The sequence below is a fragment of the Homo sapiens genome, chromosome 2 (genome assembly GCF_000001405.40).
Source record: "Homo sapiens chromosome 2, GRCh38.p14 Primary Assembly".
NCBI classification, from domain to species: domain Eukaryota; kingdom Metazoa; phylum Chordata; class Mammalia; order Primates; family Hominidae; genus Homo; species Homo sapiens.
Genome location: NC_000002.12, coordinates 119,542,389 through 119,567,082, shown reverse-complemented (window position 1 = coordinate 119,567,082; position 24,694 = coordinate 119,542,389). Strand labels below are relative to the sequence as shown.

The window sequence follows — 24,694 nt, the reverse complement described above, 5'->3', positions numbered from 1 at the left end:
GGGGTTGTTGATAAGGAGAAGCTCTGCATGCATGGGGCAGGGAGATATGGGAAATCTCTGTACATTCCTTTCAATTTTGCTATGAATTAAAAACTGCTATAAGAATATAAAGTCTTCAAAAATCTCCAGGCCCTATTATGGTAAGATAAATAGTCATAAAAATGGTTAAGATGGTAAATTTTATGCTACATATATTTTGATACAATACAATAAAAATAAAATCTAAAACTTAGAAGGAAAAAAAAAACCCTGCAAGCACGGTCAGAAGTCCCATCTCTGAAAGACATCATGACAAGTAGACGGTTAAGCCAAAAGAGGCACTGACCCAGGAGTTGCCTCTGAGTGGGGTGTGCGGGTAGGAAAGACCAGTGAGGTAGGGCTCAGAAGCTGCCAGGTAGCTGGGACACGGGCCAAGAGGCAGCACTCAGAGGTGCACATTTCTAGGCCCATAATCCAATGACAAACTGCCCCTGCAGAAAGGAATGGAGCCACGTTGAGGCTGCTCATGTCTGTAGGAGCTGGGGGGGTACTCATGCTAAGGCAGAGAAGGAGCAAGGCTGGACTGCAGTCAGCACAGAGTAGGATAGCTCGATGGCTCTCACAGGAAACAAAGTGCTGTGACACGAACAAAAATGAGAGTGGCAAGCTAGGAGACCAAAGGTGAGACTGGCATTTAAGGAGATAGCTTCTCATGCATCAGAGGCGGTGGTCGGGAGCAAGTCCACCCTTGCAGGAGGAGTATTTTTATCACTGGCAATATTCAGAATTGTTAGTGCATGGTAACATGCAAAAGCCGACTCACTTTTAGTAGAGTTGATTGCTTTAATATTTTCTACAGATGACGATTCCTGGGACACCCCCTCTTCTTTTCTACTCCACACCCTCCTTTTGCTGGCTCATTTCTAGTCAAATTTCCAAACTCAGCTCAGGCATGTCCTCCTCCTGGAAGTGGTGCCTGAGCTCCTCATCCTACCTGCCCCCAACTGACCTCAACCAAGCCGGGTCATCCCTTTTCAGCATACACTGAATTAGGAATGGAAACTGTCTATTTAGTCATGGTACCAGGTCTTGATCATCTCTGCATCCTCAGAACCTAACACTGTGCCTGGCACATGGAAGGCATTCAATAAAGGTTTGTTAACCGACTGAATGAATACTGAATAAACAGCCCACCCAAATGATACCTTCAACCCCAGGGTAGCCTAGGATTAATAGAAAACACTTTAGCTGAAAACGTGTTCTAGTAGTCACCCCCTGTCCTGTTACCACACATTTTGGATTGAATGTAGCATAGGACAGTTTGAGTAGTTAAAAGTTGATTATAAGCCATTACGTTAAGGGTATGAAGTCTTGGAAGGCTATGCCTGCTGCCAGAATGTCTGGAGGAAAACAGTAGCATGCTTATCTTTTGAAAGATTTTTTAAAAATATCACATCATTATATACAATAACACAGTTAAATAAACTGTTTAGCTGAAATTTTCATTCTGGTTACAAATGAATGGTGTTATATACAAAGTAGCTTGGGAACAGCCTCTAGGGAGGTTGGTACATTTTTGTATTAAGAGCCCAAGGATGATGTCTGCATTATTAGGCATATTATTTTCACCAGTTTTATAAATCATTGTTCTCAACTCATAAGCCTGGCTTATGATCCAAACAAAAAGTAATTTATAGAGGGGAAAAAAGAAGAAAATAAAAAAGAATTAATGAACTAGGGAGTTAGTTGTTTTCTGCCACTTCAACTTTGATAAAAATTGCTATATTTGCCCACTCAAAGGAAATATCTGTTCTCAAAATTCAGAGAGTGAGTGGACCCTGCAAGGAAGGATTCACCTTTTTAAACTCTTGGGGTCCCTGCACAGACCATTTAATACTGAGGAGGAGTGAGCGAACACAGGAAGGGTTGGTGAGTGGGAAGGAGGAAGTACTGTGGTGGAGTTCTTGCAGAACTTTTTGGGAAAAATAAAGAGAGAATGGAAGAGCACGGGGCTAAGAATGTAAAAGTCACCAAAAATGCAGAAGTCTGATAGTTCCCATTGTTAGCAACAATGTAGGAGAAACAGAAATCCTCACACACTGCAGGTGGGTGTGTAAAGGCCTACAACCATTTTAGAAAACAGACAGCCATTACATAGTAACCCAATCTGTGCTGTGACCTGCAATTCCCCATTTAGGTATATACCCTGGAGAAGCTCTAGAACATGTGTACAGGAGCCATGTACTTTACAAGGATATATGCCAGCAATGTTCAGCATAGCAAAAACAAAACAAAACAAAACAAAATAGTGGAAACTACCCATCGGTCCATCAGCAGTGGAGTGGATAAAAAACTGTGGTGAATTCATACAGTGGACAGTATATAGCAGTGAGCTACAACTGTGTATAATAATGTGGCTGAACCGCAAAAACATAATGTTGAATGAAAAACGCAGGTTACAAAAGAACTTACACGGTAGGATTCCATCTATGTAAAGATCAAAAACTGGCAAAGCTAAACAATGTATGATTTAGGGGTGCATGTGCATGCATCAAAACTACTAAAGTAAACCCAGGGAATGGTTATTACAAGATTCAGAAGAGTGATTGCAAAGGTAATGGTCATATTTCATGCCTTAAAACCAGTATTCATTGTTATTATTATTATTCAAACTGTGCAAATTATTATAGATTATTTTATATGTATTATTTATTTTACAATTTTTAAAGAGCTTTTTAAAAACAAAAGTAAGCAGAGAGAGTGAGTGAGAAGCTTACTGTCTCACTCTGGAGGGGGCAGAGAGGAGGGCAACGCAACAGCTGAACCAAGGAAATTGTTCCAGATCTAAACTTTGGAGTTCCATTCAAGGACAGCAGGTTGTACTGAAAAAGAAGGACCTCAAAGCTCATATGCACGGTCCATAAGCCTCTACCACCACTAAAAGGGTTCTGTGGCTGCTCTTTCTAACTTGATCCACCCGGTCATCAGCAGCTTACAGTCCCCTGCTCAGTGCTGCCTGCAGGCTCTTTAGGCCTTGCTTCCCCCTCCATAAGCCTGCTGAAGCCCACAGTCTTTATCTACCTGCTGGCCCTATATCTAGAGGGATCTGGCATTTACCAGCTACTGAGTGGATTAAAATCTCCCAGTGGCCATTCATCACCTGCAAGATGGAGTCCATGCTCTCTGCTGCCATCACGCCTTTGCAGAGGCTCTTTCTCTGCCTGCGGTGCCATCCTCTTGTCCCCAGCCCATGGCATCCTTGGAGGATAACCCAGCTGTCACCTCCTGTATGAGTTGTTCTTAGCAACTGGAGTGATTAATTGATGACATGGTCCTATCCCCATTAGACTCTGAGGCCTCCAGAACTGGAGCCTTTATTTAGTCTTCTTTTCACCATGAGTGATATTCAAAATATCAACCCATCAGCACTTCACAGACAGCAATCAATCAGAGTGAATACTGTATAAAGCTGGAACCAGGTCCTGCAGATGTCCTCCTCCACTCCTAAATTGCTAGGTATTAACCCCTTAGTTGCTGCATCAATGGGGAGGAGGCAGGTGGGGGCAGGGGAGAGTCCAGGTAGGTGGGGTGGAGGGATAGGGGACTCAGGACAGTATATATTTTCCAACCAGTACAGAAGTATTTAAATATTTTAACAACTGGCATGGCCATTATACACTAGGCCCTCTGCATTTGAGGGTTCCATATCCATGGATTTAACCAACCACAGATCAAAAATATATGAAAAAGCAATGGATGGCTATCTCTGTACTGAACATGTATAGACTTTTTGCCTTGTCATTATTACCTAAACTATACAGTATGACAACTATTTACATAGTGTTTACATTGTATTAGCATTATAAGTAATCTAGAGATGATTTGAAGTACACAGGAGAATGTGCATAGGTTATATGTAAATACTATGCCATTTTATTTTTTATATTTTAGAGACAGGATCTCACTCTGTCACCCAGGCTGGAGTGTAGTGGTGTGATCACAGCCCATTGCAGCCTCAAACTCCTCGGCTCTAGCAATCCTCCTGCCTCAGCCTACCAAGTAGCTGGGACTACAGGCACACATCACCATACCTGGCTAACTTCTAAATTTTTATTTTGTAGAGATGGGGTCTTTTTTGTTGTTCAGGCTGGTCTCAAAGTCCTGGGCTCAAGCCATCCTCTGCCTCGGCCTCCTACAGTGTTGGGATTACAAGCGTGAGCCACCAGGCCCACTCTATGCCATTTGACATAAGGGATTAGAGCATCCATGGACCCTGTGGGGGGTCCTGGAACCAATCAATCCTCTATGGATATTGAAGGGCAACTATATATCAATATCTAACAGCTCAATATCCATCTAGGGACAGACTTTTAGTATATACTGAAAGAACAAGACATTCCTTAAATTACATTGGAATCATTCACCAAAAAAAGGAGAGAATCTGAGCATTGGCTCCTATAGTGAAATTCTGTTGTCTTTGCCTTTGTCTCCAAAACAGATTGGTTAATGGATGGGTATATGAGGTCTGATAAGCCTCAGTCCTGGGGTTTTGCTTGAATGCCCCCAACCCCTCCACCCTCTCCAATCACCTCATCCCCAGGCTAATGTCTGGAGCTACTGGAGGCTGTCTTGCCCCCATGAAGGGGACCTGTTGAGAATGAAGCGCAAGATGGTGGAACTAAGATATGGGGAGAGTCAGGCTCCTGCAACCGGATTTAAATCCCTAGATCCAGAGGCACCTGAAGATCCACCCGGACTGCACCTTTCAGTTAATTGACCCAATAAATTCCCTTTCTTGCTTATGATCTTTTGACGCATGTTTGGTTTTTGCTTTTGCTTTTTTTTTTTTTGCCTTTTACAATGACAAGTCCAGTCTATTTCAGGTGGAAGGATGAACTTCCATTAGGAAAAACAAAAGTCTAAGGTTTTGTATGAGTATCTCTTAGTTTTTCACATCCTATACATTTTGTTGACATTTTGGTAACTCACCTTTCACCAAGTAGAACATTTGACAGATTTATAAATGAAGGAAAGTCTAGTGAGTTCATGACTGGATAGGCATGAATAGGAACAAGCAAAGTGTCATCTCCCTAAAATTAACCAGAAAAAGTCAAGTTTAACATTCTGAAGACTACAACTTTTAGACAAACTTGTAGATGCTTTATTTCTTATCTTGTTTCCATCGTTAAAAAATATTTCCTTAAGAAACTTCAGCGCTTAACTACAACATTAGACATACTGAGTTTTCTTAGCCATAAACAAAGCGTAGAAAATTTTAAGTACTCTTTATTGAAATGATGTTCGCTATTATCCAAGGAAGCTAAAGATAATGACGCCTCATAGAGATATGAAGACAGTAATCTATCTGCTTCTATTTCAGAAAATTATAAAGAAACACAGTCTTTAGTGGCCCAAGAAAAAGAGAAACCAGCACAGAATCATCTGATCCAGACAGCACAGAATAGAAAACAATGTATTGGCAAGAGGGCACAGAAACTTGCTTCTTGTCTCATATGACGTTAACCTTCAGAAGGACTTTTAACCTCTCCAGGCATAGTTTCTTTCTTTGCAAAATGGAGATAATCATATTTTTCCTTAAAGGCATTTTTAAGAATTAAAGCAGATGATGGCATTAAAATGTCAAAAGTACTGCATAAAAGTGAGGTATTATTATTAGCATTATTTGGTAGTAACAGGAAATGTGTCCTGGCATTTTATACAATGCCTGTTCTAGGCATTCTTCTTCTGTTCAGCACAGAATATTCCATCTGAAAGCAATATTCTGGTTTTGTTTTTATTTTTTTATTTTTTTTTGAGATGGAGTCTCGCTTTGTTGCCCAGGCTGGAGTGCAGTGGTGCAACCTTGGCTCACCGCAACCTCCACCTCCTGAGTTCAAGTGATTCTCCTGCCTCAGCCTCCCGAGTAGCTGGGACTACAGGTGCATGCCACTAGGCCTGGCTAATTTTTTGTATTTTTAGTAGAGATGGGGTTTCACCATGTTGGCCAGGCTAGTCTCAAACTCCTGACCTCAGGTGATCCACCCACCTCGGCCTCCCAAAGTGCAGGGATTACACACATGAGCCATCGCGCCTGGCCATTTTTTTTTTAATTGAAACTCCAAAAAAATAATAATGGTCTATCATATTCTTAAGGAAATGTGCTTCTTGATCTAAAATACTATTGTGGGTATGTTGGGTCTAAGATTCTTTCCCTCCCCCTATGGAAATGCATCTCTAATATGACGAAGTGAGTCAGAGACAACACTATCAATTTATAAAAGTTAACTTTGCAAATTTTTATAACTTTTTTGGAAAGAAAAAGTGAAATGCTTTCACGGCAAGTCACCTTATTGTGCAGATTGTAGGAAATTTGCCTGAAAAGAAAAAAAGTAGAAACTCATTTGTTACTAATGTATACTCTTCTGTTTTGGTTTTGAAACATCAATAATTTAGCTAACCTAATGGCTTCTCAAGCTGAAGACTGGGGTCTGGACTATAGAGCAAAGGGAGGGGCAGAGGGGACAGTTTTAAGAGAAGGAATGACGGCAGCTCTGGCTGGAGGCCAAAGGATGAATTAGGTGACCTAGGAAAGGCTCAGAAGAACTCAAACAGTCCCCACCTCCCGGAACCACCCCCATCCCCTGCACCAGGGCTGCCTCTGCAGACATTCCCAGGCATAGGCCAGTGGCTGGTGTTTATAATCATAACTTGGATGGTTGTAAATTTTTCAACCTAGCATTTAAGGGAGTATGTTGAAGTTATTTGAAAAGGCTTCGGCAACTGCCAGCACCACATGATAGATGAAGCTTTAGGCACAGGGCAGTGGGAAGCCTGCAGCAAACCGCGTCTCCTGACTCTGTCCAGGTCCTCTGCAGCCTAACACTTTCCCATCTTGGGCCATGTCACTGGGCAACAAGCTTTGCACGCCAGTCACACTGGTGACCTGGGGAACACCCGGTACTGGGCCAAGAAAGCTCTCAGTGGTCATTCCACCTCTCTTTCTGCCACCATTGAGAATGTAAGTTTTAACCCACCATCAAAAAAAAAAAAAAAAAAAAGCAATTTTAAGAGACCTACCTTACAGTGAACACGGATGCAGTCATAATAGTATCGCCACTCATCTGGAGAAAATGTAACGGTGACCGTGAGGGACAAGCCAGGGACCAGGTGGTGTTCCTGGAAGACAGGTGGCATCTTGTTGGGACAAGCCCCGGACTGCACAGAGAGCAGCACCGGGGGTGACAACACACCACACACCCCCCACCCCACACAGGCCTGAGACGCAGACAACCACACCGTGGGAGAACAGGTAAACCAATGACGCTTACCTTTCTTACATAATTGATCTCAAAGTATTTGGTTTGCGGGGGTAAAATATGAACACGTGTGTCTTCATTGGAAACATTGACCAGATGCTGGGAGAGAAAAAGAAGTATTTAGAGGAAATACACGGCTTTATTTGCATACTCACCTCATTTATGTAGACTTCATCTGTTCCTAAAAGAATTTGAGGAGATATCCTATATTTAACTTTTCAAAATATTTGAAATACATCATACACCATTTAAAAAATAATAAACATAACACACACCATTTCAAGAATTATAAAACGTGCCCCATGTCCCCACTTTCCCCCTTAGGAACAATACCTGCAGTACCCTCCCACCCCAGCCCGAGACTTAGCATCCTTTAGGGCCCCCTCCCCACAGTCCTGAATGTTACTGCAAGTGCTTTTTGTTTAATTCAATTTAGTCCTGCGATTCAATCGAGCTAAGTCAGGCACCAATTCCTAAAGGTTCTCTAATTACATGCCACTGGTTTAGGGGCCCAGAGGACACTGAGACCATCAGAAAGTCAGGAAAAAGAACGTGACTAAGACAGCCTCCAATCCACGCCTGGGCAGATGAAAAGGAAGTTGAGGGTGGGAATTCTCTGACAGTGACAGGAGAAGGCCATCCCTGTGAGGCAGGATCATCTGGTGGATATGTCAGCTGGGTCTCTGAGGAAAGGTGTTTTTCCTTCCTTCGTTTGAAAGGGACACAAGAATTTTGAATTCTGGGGATCTGGGCTTTGCCTGGGCCAGGAGAAGGTTAAGAGACCTTTGGTTTCTGAAGTCTAGGCCAGACGCTGGGTCTGTCCCAGGGGCTTGGAAGTCCCATTGCTTGAGGACTGACATTCTTCAATGCCCTAAATTAGACTTTAGACATTCTCTCCTGATGAGGGTACACTGTGTTTGCCTGTGTTTTTTTGTTGTTGTTGTTGGTTTTTTGTTTTTTATTTTTGAGACAGGGTCTTTCTGTGTTGCTCGGGCTGCAGTGCAGTGGCACAATCATAGCTCACTGAAGCCTCGAACTCCTGCGTTCAAGCAAACCTCCTGCATTTGCTCCTGAGTAGCTGGGATTATAGGCATGCACCACCATGCCCAGCTAATTTTTATTTTTTATTTTTTGTAGAGATGGGGTCTCATTATGTTGTCCAGGCTGGTCTCGAACTCCTGGGCTCAAAGGGTCTTCTCACGTTGGCCTCTGAAAGTGCTGGGATTACAGGTGTAAGCCACTGTGTCTGGTCATGCATGTGTTTAAAAAGTTCTTATTTATTACATGTGAACATTCTTAAAGCACTACAATTTTTGTGACCCTGTTTTGGTGTATCTTCCCTTTCTTACGAAACTTGTTAAAAGCCCAAACAAAAAGTTTCCCAGGCTTCTCTTGGCCTCCAAGGGGCCCTGCACATGGGCAGTCTTGGTGAAGATATGAGTTCCCAGGGGCCAGACCCATGAGAGCAGCCCTTTTGAGAGAGACTGGGAGGAGAGGTTTGCTGAGTCCATCACACTCAGAGTCCTGGGATGACAGGGCCCGCCTGAGGATGGAGAGGGGCCACTCAGCCCCAGGCCTGGAATCTTAACAAAGAGCTTTGTCCCCATGCTTCTCATTGGGGGAGGGCTGTGAAGTCCTCAAGCTGGAGTCCAGGAAGAGCTGGAAGTGGAAGTGGTTCTATCATCTGTTATTACTTAAAAATAATTCAGTAAGAACACTGCAACAAACAAGGGTGCATAAGCTGGTTTTAATATGTACCCTGGGAGTGGTTAAGCTTAGAGGAAATCAGCAATCTGCACTCTAGGGGTGCTTTTTTTTTTTTTTTTTTTGAGACGGAGTCTTGCTCTGTTGCCCAGGCTGGAGTGCAGTGGCGCGATCTTCGCTCACTGCAGCCTCTGCCTCCCAGGTTCAAGTGATTCTCCTGGCCCAGCTAACTTTTGTATTTTTAGTAGAGACAGATGGGGTTTCACCATGTTGGTCAGGCTGGTCTCGAACTCCTGACCTCATGATCCACCCACCTCGGACTCCCAAAGTGCTGGGATTACAGGCGTAAGCCACCGTGCCTGGCTTCTAGGAGTGCTTTGTGAGCACTGAAGGATCCTAACCCAGCATCTACACTCCACAGGCAGCCATCAGAGTGTTTCAATTATGCCACCTAAATCCATTCTGGAGAGTCTTCTATAGTAGCAGAAAGGATACTCAGAATCTATGGATTAACTAGAAATATTATCCAGGCATTTCCACTCTCAAACAAAAGGGGTATGACAATCTGGTGAGTGCAAAAGACCAATATCCTTTAGAATGACATTCAAGGGCCCCAGACTCCCTTAGTCCCCCATGCTCTGCACTTTACTAAAGTATTCGGTCAGCCAGTTGTCATACCTGCGGCCATCAAAGCCTCCCCACTAGGAACTGCAGCTGGGACTTCGTGAGATTACAAACACAATGATCTTTTTGCCTGCTTGCTAGTAAGTGTTCATATGTGTTGCAGAGTGTCTTCTCAGACCTGTTCGCTGCAGCCGACCACCTGTAGCAAGGCTGCTGAGGAGTGGACCTATGACTCCCACATGCTGTCAGGGTCAGACTCTCAATATCTGCCTGACAATTAGAAATAAGCTCACTGGCTTAAATCAGTTTCCAACAAGCGACATTATGGGCAGAAGACCAGAACAGAGATCTGTCCTCAAAGCTGCTGGGTTCGCTCCATTTTTCCAGTATTCCTGAATGGTCCCAAGGAAGACAGGAACCTAAACTCCCAAGACTGGAGATCCAGCCAGCACCTATGGACAAATAAAGAGACTTGACCTTTCCTCCAACATGAGTATGTCACAGCAAATCCAAATCTACCCACTACCCATTTGAACATGAAGGGGGCATGCTAGAATTCATGACATAATATCTATATTGTCAAGTGAGTAAAAAATTTGCAATAGGAGGGCTGGGCACAGTGGCTCACACCTGTAATCCCAGCACTTTGGGAGGTCAAGGCAGGTGGATCACCTGAGGTCAGGAGTTTGAGACCAGTCTGGCCAACATGGTAAAACTCCATCTCTACTAATAATACAAAAATAGCTGGGCGTGGTGGTGGGAGCCTGTAATCCCAGCTACTCGGGAGGCTGAGGCAGGAGAATCGCTTGAACTGGGAGGTGGAGGTTGCAGTGAGCTGAGATCGCGCCATTGCACTCCAACCTGGGTGACAAGAGTGAAACTCTGTCTCAAAAAAAAAAAAAAGAAAAAAAATTTAGCAATAAGAAAATACTAGATGATTTTCTTAGAGAATAAAACAACATAGATCCAATTTGTGATAATAAAAGATACATTATTTGACTATAGTTTCCCATGTCCACCTTTAAAAGATTCTTGAACTGGAATTGTTCATTTGGATCAACAGAGAAATAAGAAACAACAGACTCAAACAAAACTGTAGATATTTAGTTAATAGGAGCTCAGAAACAGGAAGAAAACGTTCAGCTTCTGCTTAAGATCTGAAGTGAAATGGAGACTAGTGGAGACTGAAGGCCTGGACAGCTGGGTGCAGTGGCTCACACCTGTAGTCCCAGCTACTTGGGAGGCGGAGGTGGGAGGATCACTTGAGCCCAGGAGTTTGAGGCAGCAGTGAGCTGTGATCCACGTGGTGGATGGCAGAGAAGGCAGTCAGCAGACATAGTGATGGTGCGGGCAGGGATATTTCAACCAAATAATGTCTAAGACAATTCCAGGGGACATCGTGCCAATGAGCTTTTTCAGTGAACTTAAAACAACAACAAAACATGACAAATTATAGCAAAAATGAACAGCTTATTTTCTACACTTTAGAAAACAAAGTCAACATCCAAAAGCCTGACTTCCAAAATAGGAAGATTTTATTAATTTTGCAGTTCTCAATTTTTGGTTGCAAATACTCATTGCTTCCCATAATCATCCATGTTCTTTGTCCTCTCAAAGATTTGTCTGAGCCCAGGAAGACTGCAGAGGCCATTTTGTGCAATGTCCTTATTTCATGAAGACACAGTGACCTGGTACTGTCCATGCCACAGGGTGAGTGCAAGACCTGGACCTAGAACCTGGTCTCCAGCTCTGGGCTAGGGCTCTTTCCACTACATCCTACCGTCTCATGGCTCAGCACATCTCAGTGCCCAGCCTGCATTTCCTGTCTTTTTTTTAATACTTTATCAGCAGATCAGCTTTATTTTTAGATCGTTATAAATAATATCCCTTCAGGGATAAAATGGCAGTCCTGCCTTTCCATTTATAACTAAAACTGGGGAAAATAATAATCATTCAAAGGAAAAACAAACCTTGGGAAAATGAATAAAGTGCTTAGAAAGTGTATGTTAAATTAATATGAAGAGTTTATTTGAAAACATAACAAAACACAAGTAATCCAGCGTTACCCTTAGGCAACATAAAATTGCCTAAAATCCTACCCTGTGTTTCAATTTTTGGTCAGTAGAACTCCTAGTCCCTCCGGAATCTCTGTTCCCCTGGGAGCTGACCTTCTGCTGGCCTGGGGGTCCCTGTTTCCTTGGTGCTGTCTCCACAGGGCACCATATTTACTCCAAAGTGAAATTCAGCCCCTTCTAGAGTTTTTCAGAACCGCTTCCCACTCCACAAAAACCCCACAAAAACCATCAACCACACATAAAATAGTCATAAGTTTAACAGCCATTACTCAGGATTTGTAGGAATTTCCCCAAGAGGGCTCACAGCTCTCTTCACCCCCAATCCCATGCTGCTTCAGGCTCCCTTCTGTGTCTCCTTGGGGGAGTCTATTCTCCTCCTTCTAGAGGGAATGGCAGAACCTGCCCTCCAGTGAAGTCTTGGCTTGGAGTGGGTCCCGACCCTTCAAACACAACCTTCAAACACAACACTTTGGCCTGCAAGTTCAGTGACACAGCTTCTCAAAGAAGGTTCATACTTAACATAAGGGATCCAAGGACAAATTCAAGCAGCCTTATAAGTTCTTTAAAGCGTTTTATTTTAAAATGCATCTTGGTCATGCATTTACTCTAAAATTTTGCTCTATATTGCATTTCTCCAAAATGCAAGAGTAAAATTGATGCTCTAGAAAGACGTACTATGTTTATACTGTGGCTTCAATTCCCCCAACCCCACACACTGAGAAGCCAATGCGATTCATGGCCCTGATTTTGAGATGCAAGATCTTCAGGGTCTCTAAGGCTGTAATAGAATAGGTCTCTAATGTAAACTGATGTAAAAACAAATATTATTTGACAAAGCCAGAAGAAACTGTTCATTTATTTAAGGTAAGACTTTTTAGGCTAACAATTTTGTTTTGGGCTGGCAATAGCAACACTGGTTGTCTTAAAGGAAAATTGATGGATTATTTACTTAATAATTTCCAGGACCAAATCACTCCACAAAGGTAAAAACAAATTTAAGGGGTCTTGGTTTTGAGAAAACCAGGGACCATTATTTCAAATTTTAAAGTAAATTGAAACACTGATTTCAACATGAATGCAAGCAAAATGTTTCAGATCCTTTAGCCAGATCTGGATTGATCTGAAATGTTAATGAACAATTTATTTGTGGTTTTAAATACACATTCAGTCATTCCATTCTTGGGCAATTTGCATAGTTTGCTGTAGCAAAACCAAGATAAAAGCAGTTGTTGGATTTTCCACCTTGTTTGGCAAGAATTTCAAGGTAACTGCCTTAAGCTTCCGCTTCACTTTGCCGTGGAAACAGGGGGCTGGCTCTCCCAAGATTTCCGAGAATGTTATTAAGATGAAATCACTTTACTTTTATCTATTTGTTTGATTTAATGTCTGATCGAAGCAGTATGACCACCTAGACTTTACATTGTATTTACTTGGAATTAATGAGCCTCTGCCACTCTTCTAATAACCTCACAACTCTTACATTAAAGTGAGTTCCACATCCTTCACTCACAAGGGCTTGTTGGGTGCCTTCTGCATGTCAGGCACTGCACAAGGTGCTGGGGAAGCAGCAATATGAAAGACAGACATGGTCTCCATTCTGCAGCAGAATGACGCCGAGCTGAGGCTTCATATCTTTTTCAATAACTAAACCATACTCCCTTGCTCCCCACGAATTCTCAGTGGGGGTGAAATTACCCACAAGGGAAGGAAGTGAAAACTGATTCTTGGGAGGACAAAGGAATCTTAGACATTGTGATGGCTACAACCTTCCAAAGCTCAATCCTACCTGACAAAATCTTATTCCTTAGTATTTAGTTTCTCTCATTCATGTCTCCCTAAGGGATGCTAATGAAAGAAAATGTTGAGAACCACATTATCCTTTAAAATTCCACTAAGTTGATCTTCCTCAAATGCATCATAACCCTGCTCAAAAATACTTCCTTAACTTCCTGCTGCTTTCTGAATCACATGCACGTTCCTTACGTTGATATTCTTGTCCCAACCCACATGTCTCACCTTCTCCATTACCCGCTCCAAAGCCCTACCATCCAGGCAAACCAGCCTCCAAATACGCCGTTTGTTGGCTCAACTCAAGCCCCTGCATGTCTTTCTCTGGGCCCCAAATCCCTTCTCCCCACTTCCTACTTGGCTTTTGGGCTACCCCCAATGGCCTCTCCTCCACACGCCTCCAACACCCTCCTACAGAGGTGAAACGGTGCCTTTTCTCCACAGAACATTTTCTTTGGACTTCCTCATGCCACCTTGCTTGCCTGGTCTCATGTCTGAGTTATTTGGTGGTTTTGAAACACTTTCTGCTACTTGGAAAACTCCTTGATTTTATTTATCTTAGCATTTCCCATAATGCTTCAACACTTTGTTTGGCATGTAATGGGGACTCTCACCAACTGTGGGTGAAATTAAACAGAAGAAAATCCTTAACTCTATTAGAAACAAGGTAACATCAACCAGAGAGTACAACTTCGTTAGAGATAACAAAATAATATGCTGTTTCTTATCTATTTATTTATTTCTTATTAAAGAAAGAAATATTTCTCTTTATTTCTTATTAAAGAAATATTTCTATTTATTTCTTATTAAAGAAAGAAATATTTCTATTTATTTCTTATTAAAGAAATATTTCTATTTATTTCTTATTAAAGAAAGAAATATTTCTATTTATTTCTTATTAAAGAAAGAAATATTTCTATTTATTTCTTATTAAAGAAAGAAATATTTCTATTTATTTCTTATTAAAGAAAGAAATATTTCTATTTATTTCTTATTAAAGAAAGAAATATTTCTATTTATTTCTTATTAAAGAAAGAAATATTTCTATTTATTTCTTATTAAAGAAAGAAATATTTCTATTTATTTCTTATTAAAGAAAGAAATATTTCTATTTATTTCTTATTAAAGAAAGAAATATTTCTATTTATTTCTTATTAAAGAAAGAAATATTTCTATTTATTTCTTATTAAAGAAAGAAATATTTCTATTTATTTCTTATTAAAGAAAGAAATATTTCTATTTATTTCTTATTAAAGAAAGAAATATTTCTATTTATTTCTTATTAAAGAAAGAAATATTTCTATTTATTATGAAATAAATAAATAGTAAAGTGTACAATAATATGATTAAAATTATGAGGAGGCTGAAATATTTTTAAGTTTAGTAACATTATTGGAATCACTAACATTATACTAAGCAAAAAAAAAAAAAAAAAAAAGGCCAGTTTTAAAAAGCTATGTTGTGACCCAAAAGTGTTATGTTGTTAATTTTTTTGGTATAGCAACTTTTAACTTACCAGTTCATTATTAACTCTAATAGTTGCCATCATTTAAAAAATGTCAATATTTCTTGAAACTACAGGACCCTTAGCAAGCTAATTATAACTATGTAATTCTGAGGAAAGTCTATTTTAAGGAAGGTGAGCCCTCCTCTTCAGAACCCACACAGGTGGAAAATATCCTAGGGCTAGTGACAAAAGTTACGAAACATTTATTATAAAAAAGAATTGTGACTTAATATTCTTAAGGTTGCAATATTCCCCAAATTGATCTACAGATTCAATGCAATTCCCATCAAAAACCCAAAAGTATTCTTGCAGAAATTGAAAAGCTGATCCTAAAATTCATTTGGAATTGCAAGGAACCCAGAATAGCCAACATGGTCTTGAAAAAGAACAAAACTGGAGGACTCGCACTTCCTGATTTCAAAATTTACCACAAGCTACAGTAATTAAGGGTGGTACTTCCATCAGTGTAGGCATACAGGTCAATGGAGTAGAACCGGGGGTTCAGAAATAAACTCTTACATTTACAGTAAATTGATTTTCAGCAAGAGGGCCAAGACCATTCAATGGGGAAAAAATAGTCCTTTCAACAAATGATGGTAGAACATGCAAAAGATTGAAGTTGAACCCCTACCTCACATAATACATAAAAATTAACTCAAAATAAACTATAGGTCTAAATATGAAAGCTAAAACTATAAAACTCTTAGAAGAAAACACAGGAGTAAGTCTTTATGACTTTGTTAGTTGTTTCTTTAATACCCTAAATTTGTGGTATGGCAGCCACAGGAAGCTAACAAACCATATAACCCAATAATGCTCCTCCTATGTATATCTCCAAGGGAATGGTAAATATGTCCACAAAAGCAAGCCCATGAATGTTCATAGCAGCATCATTCATGATAGCCCCAATGTGGAAACAATCCAACATCCATCAGCTGATAAGTGGATAAACCAAATGTGATCTATCCACACAATGGAATGCTGTTCAGCCATAAAAGGGGATAAAGTACTGCTACATGCTATGACTTGGATAAGCCTGGAAAACACTATGCTAAGTGAAAGAAGTCAGTCACAAGAGACCTGGTATTGTATGATTGCGTTCATATGAAATGTCCAGGAAGAGGCAAATCTATAGACAGAAACTGGATGAGTGATTGCCTAGGGTGGGAGTGGGAGGGGAATAGGGGATAAGGAGTGACTGAAAGTGGGTGTGGGGTTTCTTCTTCAAGTGATAAAAATGTTCTCAACTTAGATTGTGGCAATGGTTGCACAACTCTGAGAATACACTAAAAATTATTGAATTGTATACATACTGTAAATGGGTAAATTTATGGTAATAAATGATCACTCAATAAAGCAGTAAGAAAAGAAAGAAAGCATAAGGAGCAAGTAATAAAATTTTATCTTAGCCTTTGGCATATATTTCATTTATAAACAATTAGTAATTATGAATCATAATTATTTTAGATCTATCCTACCACAGCATAGACAGCAAACCTTATAACCACGAACAGTAGGCTTCAAAATGAATCATTAACTTTGGTCTTTGATGCTGTGTTGTAAGAAATGTGACCTTGGAGGTTGATGGGTGAAGTTCCTAATAAGAGTTTCAAATCCTAATCCTTTTCCTAAGAGGAAATACTTGGCACCTAACAGGTTCCCCTCCTCATCTATTCTCGCTACTCACTTCATTGTATAAGGATTCATGGAAACTGTGTTCTCCTCTGTTCTTTGGGGTCTTCCTGACGGAAATTTCCTTCCCGATACCTTTACTATTTGTCAGTTTCCTCCAGTGTTTTGCCTCACTCTAAACAATCGAACGTGATAGAACTTTCTTAAAATAATCTACCTTAAGATACGGCTTCTAAGAATGCGTACATCTAAAAGTAGTCTTGTGGTGGCTGGAGACAGGGCCACAGGAGGGACATCACACACAAAGGCAGAGTCTCAGAGGGCGCATGTGCAAAGAGCCCACCTCCGCCCCTCCCCAACAACACATGGGGCCAGTTTGGCCTGGATCTAGGGCCGAACTGGAGTAGTTCTGAGAAGTTCTGCCAGGCATGACTAGGGGATCATGGTGAAGTCACTGAGGTTGTTCAGGTCCATTTACGCACAGGATGCTTAGGTGGGACGCTGAAGTAAGGCAGAGCCCACCCTAGTCAACATCCAGGTCAATGAAGGGGACCCAGCAAGAGTTGGGCCTCAGTGTGGCTCTGTGCTAAACAGCAGTTGCTATAGGCTTTGGCTACTTTGCAGTCCAGCCCTTCAGCTGTCTCTTCAGGAGCCTGTTCTTCAGTGGGGCTGACCCCTGCCTCCCTGGACCTAGACAGATTCTCTCTGGCCAGAGTGACTGATTAGGCATGGGCATCTGACCCACGCAGGTAAAAGGAAGCCCTGGCTGGAGCTTCATAGGAAAGGGACACCCCTCTTCCTGGTGCTACAGGACTGGAGCAAGAGTGATCTGGAGAAAGGCAGCCCAGGAGCCAAATTCTGCCTCTGACACTAAGCAGCTCTATGTCCTTGAATAAATTATTTAATCTTTTGGAGTCTCTGTTTCCTCATCTATATATATAATGAGAGGAATAATGCAGCCTCCACAGAGCTAGCATAAGGATTAAATTAAATCATGTAAATCATGAAGCACAGCATCTGGCCCCTATGAGTCACTCAGCAATGACACCTATCTGGAAAGAGTGCAAGGGGAGCCTTTGGCAAGAGGAAAGTAACTTGTCCAAGACATTGATGCAACCTTAAAGTTTCTCATCATAGAACTACCTTTCTGGCCCAATTTACTCTTGCACTACGGCTGATTATGCTGTGCTTTAGATAAGTGAATAATATAAATTCAGAACATTTTTGTCACTTCATTATGATGATTAATTATCCCATTTAAAAAGTACCTACCAGAATCTGTTGGTGTTGTTTTTCTACTTGATAGCCTCCAAAATGTATTATGCCAGGTCTTGCCTGTATGACCTTATTATTCACAAGTTTTGCATAAACCTCTATAAAAACAATGTAGATAAGCACATCATGAGACATCAAAGAAAATATTAAATTAAAGTTGATCCTTATTAACATAGCTTTCTTTAATTTAGGGCATTTTAAGCATATGAAAATTGCAGACATTGGATCCAGCTGTCAACAAGATTAATTATCTGTTCTAAATAAACTGAACTCTTTCTCCCTCTCTATTTTTAAACATCACTTGGGAGATACTATCATTACAATACAAAGTCAGGTAGATTGTCTGTTACCTAGTAAAAGAATTTGCTCTTCACACATTTTGTACACATCTTTGTCATAAATCACCAGCTCATAAAGAGCACATGGCCTGTCTTTGCTCTGCCTAGCACTGAGATTACTTATTACATAATGAATACCCAGATCAAAGTATCCAAACACCGCACACTTAAGTTTATTACTATGTATTTAACTTTTATTATTTGATTTCCTCTGATTAGAATTACAATGTGATGTAGAGTAATATTAAAACTTAAAGCTCTGAAAAGTTATCACTCGGAACAGTAAGTCTCAAACTGCTTTTGGTGTCATGTGAATGTCCCTTTTAAACGGCTGAGCTCACAAAAGTGTCCAGGTCTACAAAAATTTTCCCAGCTCTTTATTTAGGCAGGAGCAGATGTTTGGAGAAGGTGCTGAGAACCCACTCTATGTAAGTGCTTTGTGCCAGGCAGTGCTATGCATACATTTGTTTATAATCCTCACTCCAGCCCTTTGAGGTAGGTATTATTTCTACTTTACAGATGAAGGAGGTAAGACTTAGCAAGGTTAAGAAACTTGCCCACAGCTGGTAATCAAAAATAAAAGGTAGGCATGGTGGCTCACACATGTAATCCCAGCATTTTGGGAGGCTGAGACAGGAGGATCGCTTGAGCCCAGGAGTTAGAGACCAGCCTGGGCAACACAGTGAGACCATGTCTCTGCAAAAAATTTTAAAATTAGCTGGGTGTGGTAGTGTGCGCTTGTGATCCCAGCTACATGGGAGGCTGAGGTGCAAGGATCACTTGAGCCCAGAAGATTGAGACTGCAGTGAGCTGTGATTGTACCACTGCTCTCCAGCCTGGACAACAGAACAACACCGTCTCAAAAAAACAAAAAACAAACAAACAAAAAAATCAACCCCAGGTCTGTCTGATTCCAACCAGTAATCTGCCTTCCTCATGAATGTACTGCCCACCTTCTTACAAATAATAACATTTGACTTTGACTGCATCCAAATCTTATGAGGCACAGACACCTTCACCCCATCCCTTTGATCATCATAATTCTAGGATACATCTGAAGTGGGTGTGAAACATTTGATGTTTTTTTCTTCTCACCAGGTGAGCTGTCACTGTCATCCACTTGGGCCAAACTGAACAGCTACAATGGGTTAAGGCTGGTGTGGTAGGGGAACTGACGATCTCTGTAGGTTATTATTTGGTCATTTTTAAGCACTGAAATTACCATATTCCGTAATTTTAAAATTTATTTATATTTATTTTTATTGATTGATTATCTTTTTTTGAGAGGGAGGGAGTCTCGCTCTGTTGCCCTGACTGGAGTGCAGTGGCGCCATCTTGGCTCACTGCAACCTCCGCCTCCTGGGTTCAAGTGATTGTCCTGCCTCAGCCTCCCAAGTAGCTGAGATTACAGGCGCCTGCCACCACACACAGCTAATTTTTGTATTTTAGTAGAGTTGGGGTTTCACCATGTTGTTCAGGCTGGTCTCAAACTCCTGACCTCAAATGATCCAACCGCCTTGGCCTCCCAAAGTGCTGGGATTATAGGAGTGAGCCACCGCACCTGGCCTATTCTATGATTTTTTTAATGTTGAAAGATTTTATTTTAGATCCACGAAGTAGATATAAAACTGGCATTTTTCTTCTAATGCCCAGAAATGGTCAAGTATATCAATTTTCACTTGACAAGTTCTACAGTGACAAAAGAAGCATATCCAAATACACTATTATGTCCTCACATTTGAGATGGGCTTTAAAAGATGAGTGGTGGGTAACCAAGCATGTTAAGAGCTAGACCCAGGGCTCTGGTGGCTGAACACCAGCTCTCCACTTACCAGGTGTGCCATGTTGGGGAAATAATGTGGTCTCTTTGAGTTTCACCTTCTCCAAGAGTAAAACGTAAATAGATCCTACCTCATGATGTATTGTTGTGTGGATTGAATGGGAAAAATGTAGGCAAAATGATTATCCTTTTCCATAATAGCTATAGGATTTCCCAGGCTTTCCAGACACAGGATATGTACATGAAAAGGCAAAAAGGTCTAAAATGCCTGTGGTCCGAAGGACAGGAAGGAACCTCATGTAGCCAGAGCTGGAAATGAGTGGGGCATGGCGATGGGGATGGTGCTGGGTGGACAGGTTCAGATCAGACAGTGAAGGGGGCCAAGCAAAGGAATTGTGACTTTATTCTGTATGCAAGGGGGACTGTTGGGAGTTTGAGCAGATTAGGGATAAAAGCCAGCCAGGATTTTAGAAAGCAAACTGACAGGAGGAGAATGTGGTGGGGGAGGAGTCCCAGCTGCCTGCTGAACATGAGAAACAAGATAAGGGGAGCAGATAGGAAAGACATTAGAAGAAGTAGAAGCAACAGAACTTGATTAATTTACATACCCCACAAAAACCTATCAGTTAAGCAGATGGATCTAAATAGAACTACTGTTCTTAGTAATAAAAATTAGTATAAGCCTATAAAATGATATAGATAAATCAGCACTAAAAGTCCCATTATGCTCTCTGGACTTTGGCTCGCCTGGGAAGATGTGAGCTGTAAAGCAAATCTGTCTTCTAGCCACTTACTTGATTCTAGGAGGTGATTAGGTACTTCTTTTCTTTTTTTCGGCTCCTCCACTAGGTTCTTCAAGAGATGGGGTGATGCATTATTAAAGGGTTCTTTAGCATTCTTTAGTCCTCTGCTGGGGGTTTTCACCACTGCCATTTTATCATGAAAAATGGAGTCTTCTTTTTAGAGCCAAAGGTCATGTCCTGGGGAGGAAAGAGCAGCAGTATAATCATCCATGAGAAACCACGCACATTTTTTCTCTTTCTTTGATAAATGTACCTCGTCTCTGTGTGGTTTACTGTGGTTCATGCCCTCCCTGGCTCTCCTCTCTGCGGGCCACTCCATTCCCACACATGGCTGTCCCATTAATCTTCTTACATAACCCATTGCAACCCAATGTCATGCCATTGCTCCAAACCCTTCTGTGGTCCTTGATTCTCCCCAGGAGCTTTTCCTGAAATGTACTTCTGAGATGCTTCTTGAGTTCATTGCAGGGGCCCGAGAAGGGAAAAATAAAGGCTCTCAGTCAAACAAGTTTGGAAAGTATTGATGTAAACAGTTAAATAAGACTTCCAAATAAGACTCTTCTTTCAGAGATTTCTCCAAATGAGTTTCTTAGAATATTTGACTATGGAAGCCTTTAACATTTGGAGGCACTGTTTACAGGACACTGGCATTTCAGAGTCACCCTCCTCCATCCCTCTGCTAACAGGGTGATGAGGAGGGGGTGATGAGGAGGTGGTGAAACCTACGGCCAGCCAGGTGCCAGACATGGGGGTATTCCAGCTCTGTGGATCTTGATTCATGTCGAACCCTGTGTCCGATTTGCCTTCCCTTAACACACTCATTTTAAGTTCCACTTTCTTCATGAAGTTCACAGTGATCCCAACACACTTTAACATTCTTTAGCAATCACTGCTTCTATTACTCATTTGGTGTTAATAATTTATAACCCTGTAACAACATTTTACAAATCTCACATTCCCTTATATATTGCACAACTAAATCTCTTAACTTGGGGCCCTTGCGCAGGCCATGGGGCTGGTCGGCGAAGCCTCTGAAATGGAATGTTAATTAGTGTGGATCTTTGTGTGTTTTTTCGGTTTTGTTTTTTCTGGAGAAGACCCATAGCTTCAGACTCCCAAGACGGACAACATCAAGCGACAGGCAGTGAATCTATGAAGGAAGGCGCTTAACAATAACTTTCAGAAAGAAGTTCTCCCCTCCCCTCCCCTCTTCTCCCCTCCCCTCGCACCACCTCTCATAGCATCGCTGAAGGCTGCATGGCCCCCTCCTCACCTGCTTCCCTTCCCTCCAGCCCTTCAACGCCAGCCCTAGGATCAGCCTGCAGCCCGTCTCCTCCCGGAGCCTCACATCCCCTGTGCTTCAGGCAGGCCCAGGAGCCAGGCGGTCTCCACGCCGCCCACACGCCGGCTCGCCCACCGCCCCGGTAGGCCTGGCTCCGGGTCTCACCGCCGCACCCTCGTTCCCTCGCCCCATTCTCTCACCCCGGGCAGGCCCTCTCGCCCCGGCCAAGCGCCTCCTCCCCTCCGCGACCTTTCATTCCACTCCTGCTAAGGGTCAGGGTCGCCCCAGGCCCGCGCACCGCTCCCCCCACCATCCTCAGGTCACCCTCTGGGCCCGACTCTCCTCGGACCCAAGCCGCGGCCGACTTGCGGCTGGACACCACCCGGGGCTCGGTCGCCTCAGCAGCTAGGCTGCGGCGCCCCAGCGGCCGACCCTGGGCCACCCGGGCCCCAGGTCCCTGGCCGCTCACCCTGGAGGTGGTTCCCGGGCCGGATTCGGCCGGCGCCAGCGCCGGCGCCCGCTCGGAGCGTCGCCATGACGACGCGGACGCGCTCCCAGGGCCGGCGGCCGGGCGCGACCAAACGCCCCAGGGCGGGGGAGCCGGGCTGCTGCGGGCCACGACCGGAGGCGGCGGGTGATTCCTGGGAGCTCGGAGCAGTTTGCCGGGCCTGGTCAAGAATAGACAGCGCGACTTATGGCATGGGATACGAATGGATTCCCGAGGGGACATGAGAAAGTTGGAAACACCACACACTGGAACCCTTCAAGAGCGGAGCGCGGGAGAGAAGACGGACGGGGCGGAGCCGCCCGAGCCAGTGGGCGGGGCTTCACCTGACAGGCATCACTCACGACGCCCACTTTCTTGTAGTTTGTTTTACATTTTCTGTTACGGTAAATTTCAAACGTACACAAAGGCAGACCGAAGGGTAAAATAGATCTTCAACACCCAGCTGCAACGATGATCAAATCCTAGCCAATCCTGTTTCATCCGTATCTTTCCCTGACTCCTTGTATTATTTTGAAGAAAATCCCAGATATTTCATCCATAAATATTTCAAAATATACCTCCAAAAGATAAGGATTCTTAAAAAAACCACAATACCTTAAAAATTATAATTTATTAACATCTTCAAATTATCTCATATTTATTTTTAGAGTTTGAATCAGAATTCAAATACAATTTGCAAATTGGAATAGATTGATGTGTCTTTTAGGTCTCTTTTCATCAACAGATTCCTCTTTCATTTCTTTGTTAGTTGTTGCAATTTATTCATTGAAGAAACTGTTTATGTCCTTGATACTGATATTTAGGGGTTGTAAACATGAAACCGTGCCCGCTCCTCTGACCTCCTGCCCTGGTCCATTCCACCCTGCTCATCCATGAATATTATTTTTTTTCAAAGACAGCTTAAGCTTCTCTTTTCCCAGGAACTGTCCTTGTCTCACTCCCTCCTTGTGTGGCTTTGATACTTGCTTGATGTTACTTATGGCTTCATGTTGACGAGAGGCTATAGTAAGAGTCCAGTGAGGGTACCTGTCTTGCCTACATTGCCACTTGTGCTGGATGCGTATATTCCCTCCCTGCTCTTTCCCAATGGGAAATGTTCATTTTTTCCATCTTCCCATTCTCCAATTCCTCTCTGTCCCCTACCATTATTACTTACTAAAAATCTCCCCATCTTTCAAGGCTAGCTGTAGATAAGGTCTCCTCTCCTCCCCACCCTCCTTCTAACCCACCAGTCCGGAAAGACTCTTTCCCTCCTCTGGGCTTCCATAACCCTCTGTTCCACTATCTTTATATTGCACCCAACATGATTCATGTCTGTGACTTAAACTGCAGAATTCTTGGGGGAGGGAACTGTACCTTGTCTTAGGATCTCCCAGAGCCCTTGACACAGTTTTTTTTTTTTTTCTTGAGACAGAGTTTTGCCTTGTTGCCCAGGCTGGAATGCAATGGCCCAATCTTGGCTCACTGCAACCTCTGCCTCCCGGGTTCAAGAGACTCTCTTGCCTCAGCCTCCCGAGTAGCTGGGATTATAGGCGCCCGCCACCACGACCAGCTAATTGTTTGCATTTTTAGTAGAGACAGGGTTTCGCCTTGTTGGCCAGGCTGGTCTCAAACTCCTGACCTCAGATGATCCACCGGCCTCGGCTCCCAAAGTGCTGGGATTACAGGCATGAGCCACGGCGCTCGGCCACCTTGACACAGTTCTTTGTCCATATTGATTACTCAGTAACTGTTGGCCAAGGGGGTGAAACAATTCATTTGTTTATAGAGTAGGTTGCTTTAGTTCCTTCTGTTTTGTTGGTACAAAGCTGTAGATTTCAGAACAGGTACTATGCTTCCCACAGTCCCAGACCTCTCCATCCAGCACAAATCATGAGATATTTGTTTTCATATACTTTTTTATTTTTAATTTTTTGTAGGGGTGGGGGTCTTGCTGTGTTACCAAGGCTTGGTTTGAAATCCTGGCCTCAAGCAATTTTTCTGCCTTAGACTCCATATGCTTTTTAATGGATATTGGGTAACACTTTTTAATTGGTATTTAACTTTTTTAAGAAAAATCACCAAAGTTCCTATTATATATATG

General features: G+C 42.4%; 1 protein-coding gene across 12 annotated transcripts in view, besides 1 other annotated feature; it reads right to left on the bottom strand.

The window, feature by feature from the left end:
• CFAP221 (cilia and flagella associated protein 221) overlaps positions 1-22,634 on the bottom strand; it is a 115,875-nt gene extending 93,241 nt beyond the window's left edge. For 7 of the 12 annotated variants that reach the window (NR_073132.2, XR_922883.4, XM_006712353.4 and 4 more), the window contains exons 1-6: positions 22,573-22,634; positions 20,813-20,998; positions 17,898-17,998; positions 7,308-7,394; positions 7,057-7,155; positions 4,969-5,069 (exon numbers count right to left, since the gene is read on the bottom strand). Coding sequence is in view for 9 of the 12 variants with exons in the window: in XM_006712353.4 (XP_006712416.1) it covers positions 4,969-5,069; positions 7,057-7,155; positions 7,308-7,394; positions 17,898-17,998; positions 20,813-20,951 (527 nt within the window). In the remaining 3 variants the exon portion in view is untranslated. Of the gene's footprint in view, positions 1-4,968; positions 5,070-7,056; positions 7,156-7,307; positions 7,395-17,897; positions 17,999-20,812; positions 20,999-21,547; positions 22,010-22,094; positions 22,228-22,303 lie in introns of those variants that run through there. The other 5 variants (XM_017003551.2, XM_017003552.2, XM_017003553.3 and 2 more) reach the window with 5 other exon arrangements.
• Positions 22,581-22,690: a silencer, noted in NCBI's record as "silent region_11906". NCBI's record gives its function as "represses an Ori minimal core promoter by ATAC-STARR-seq in GM12878 lymphoblastoid cells {active_cell/tissue: GM12878}" and the evidence as "EXISTENCE:reporter gene assay evidence [ECO:0000049][PMID:35858748]".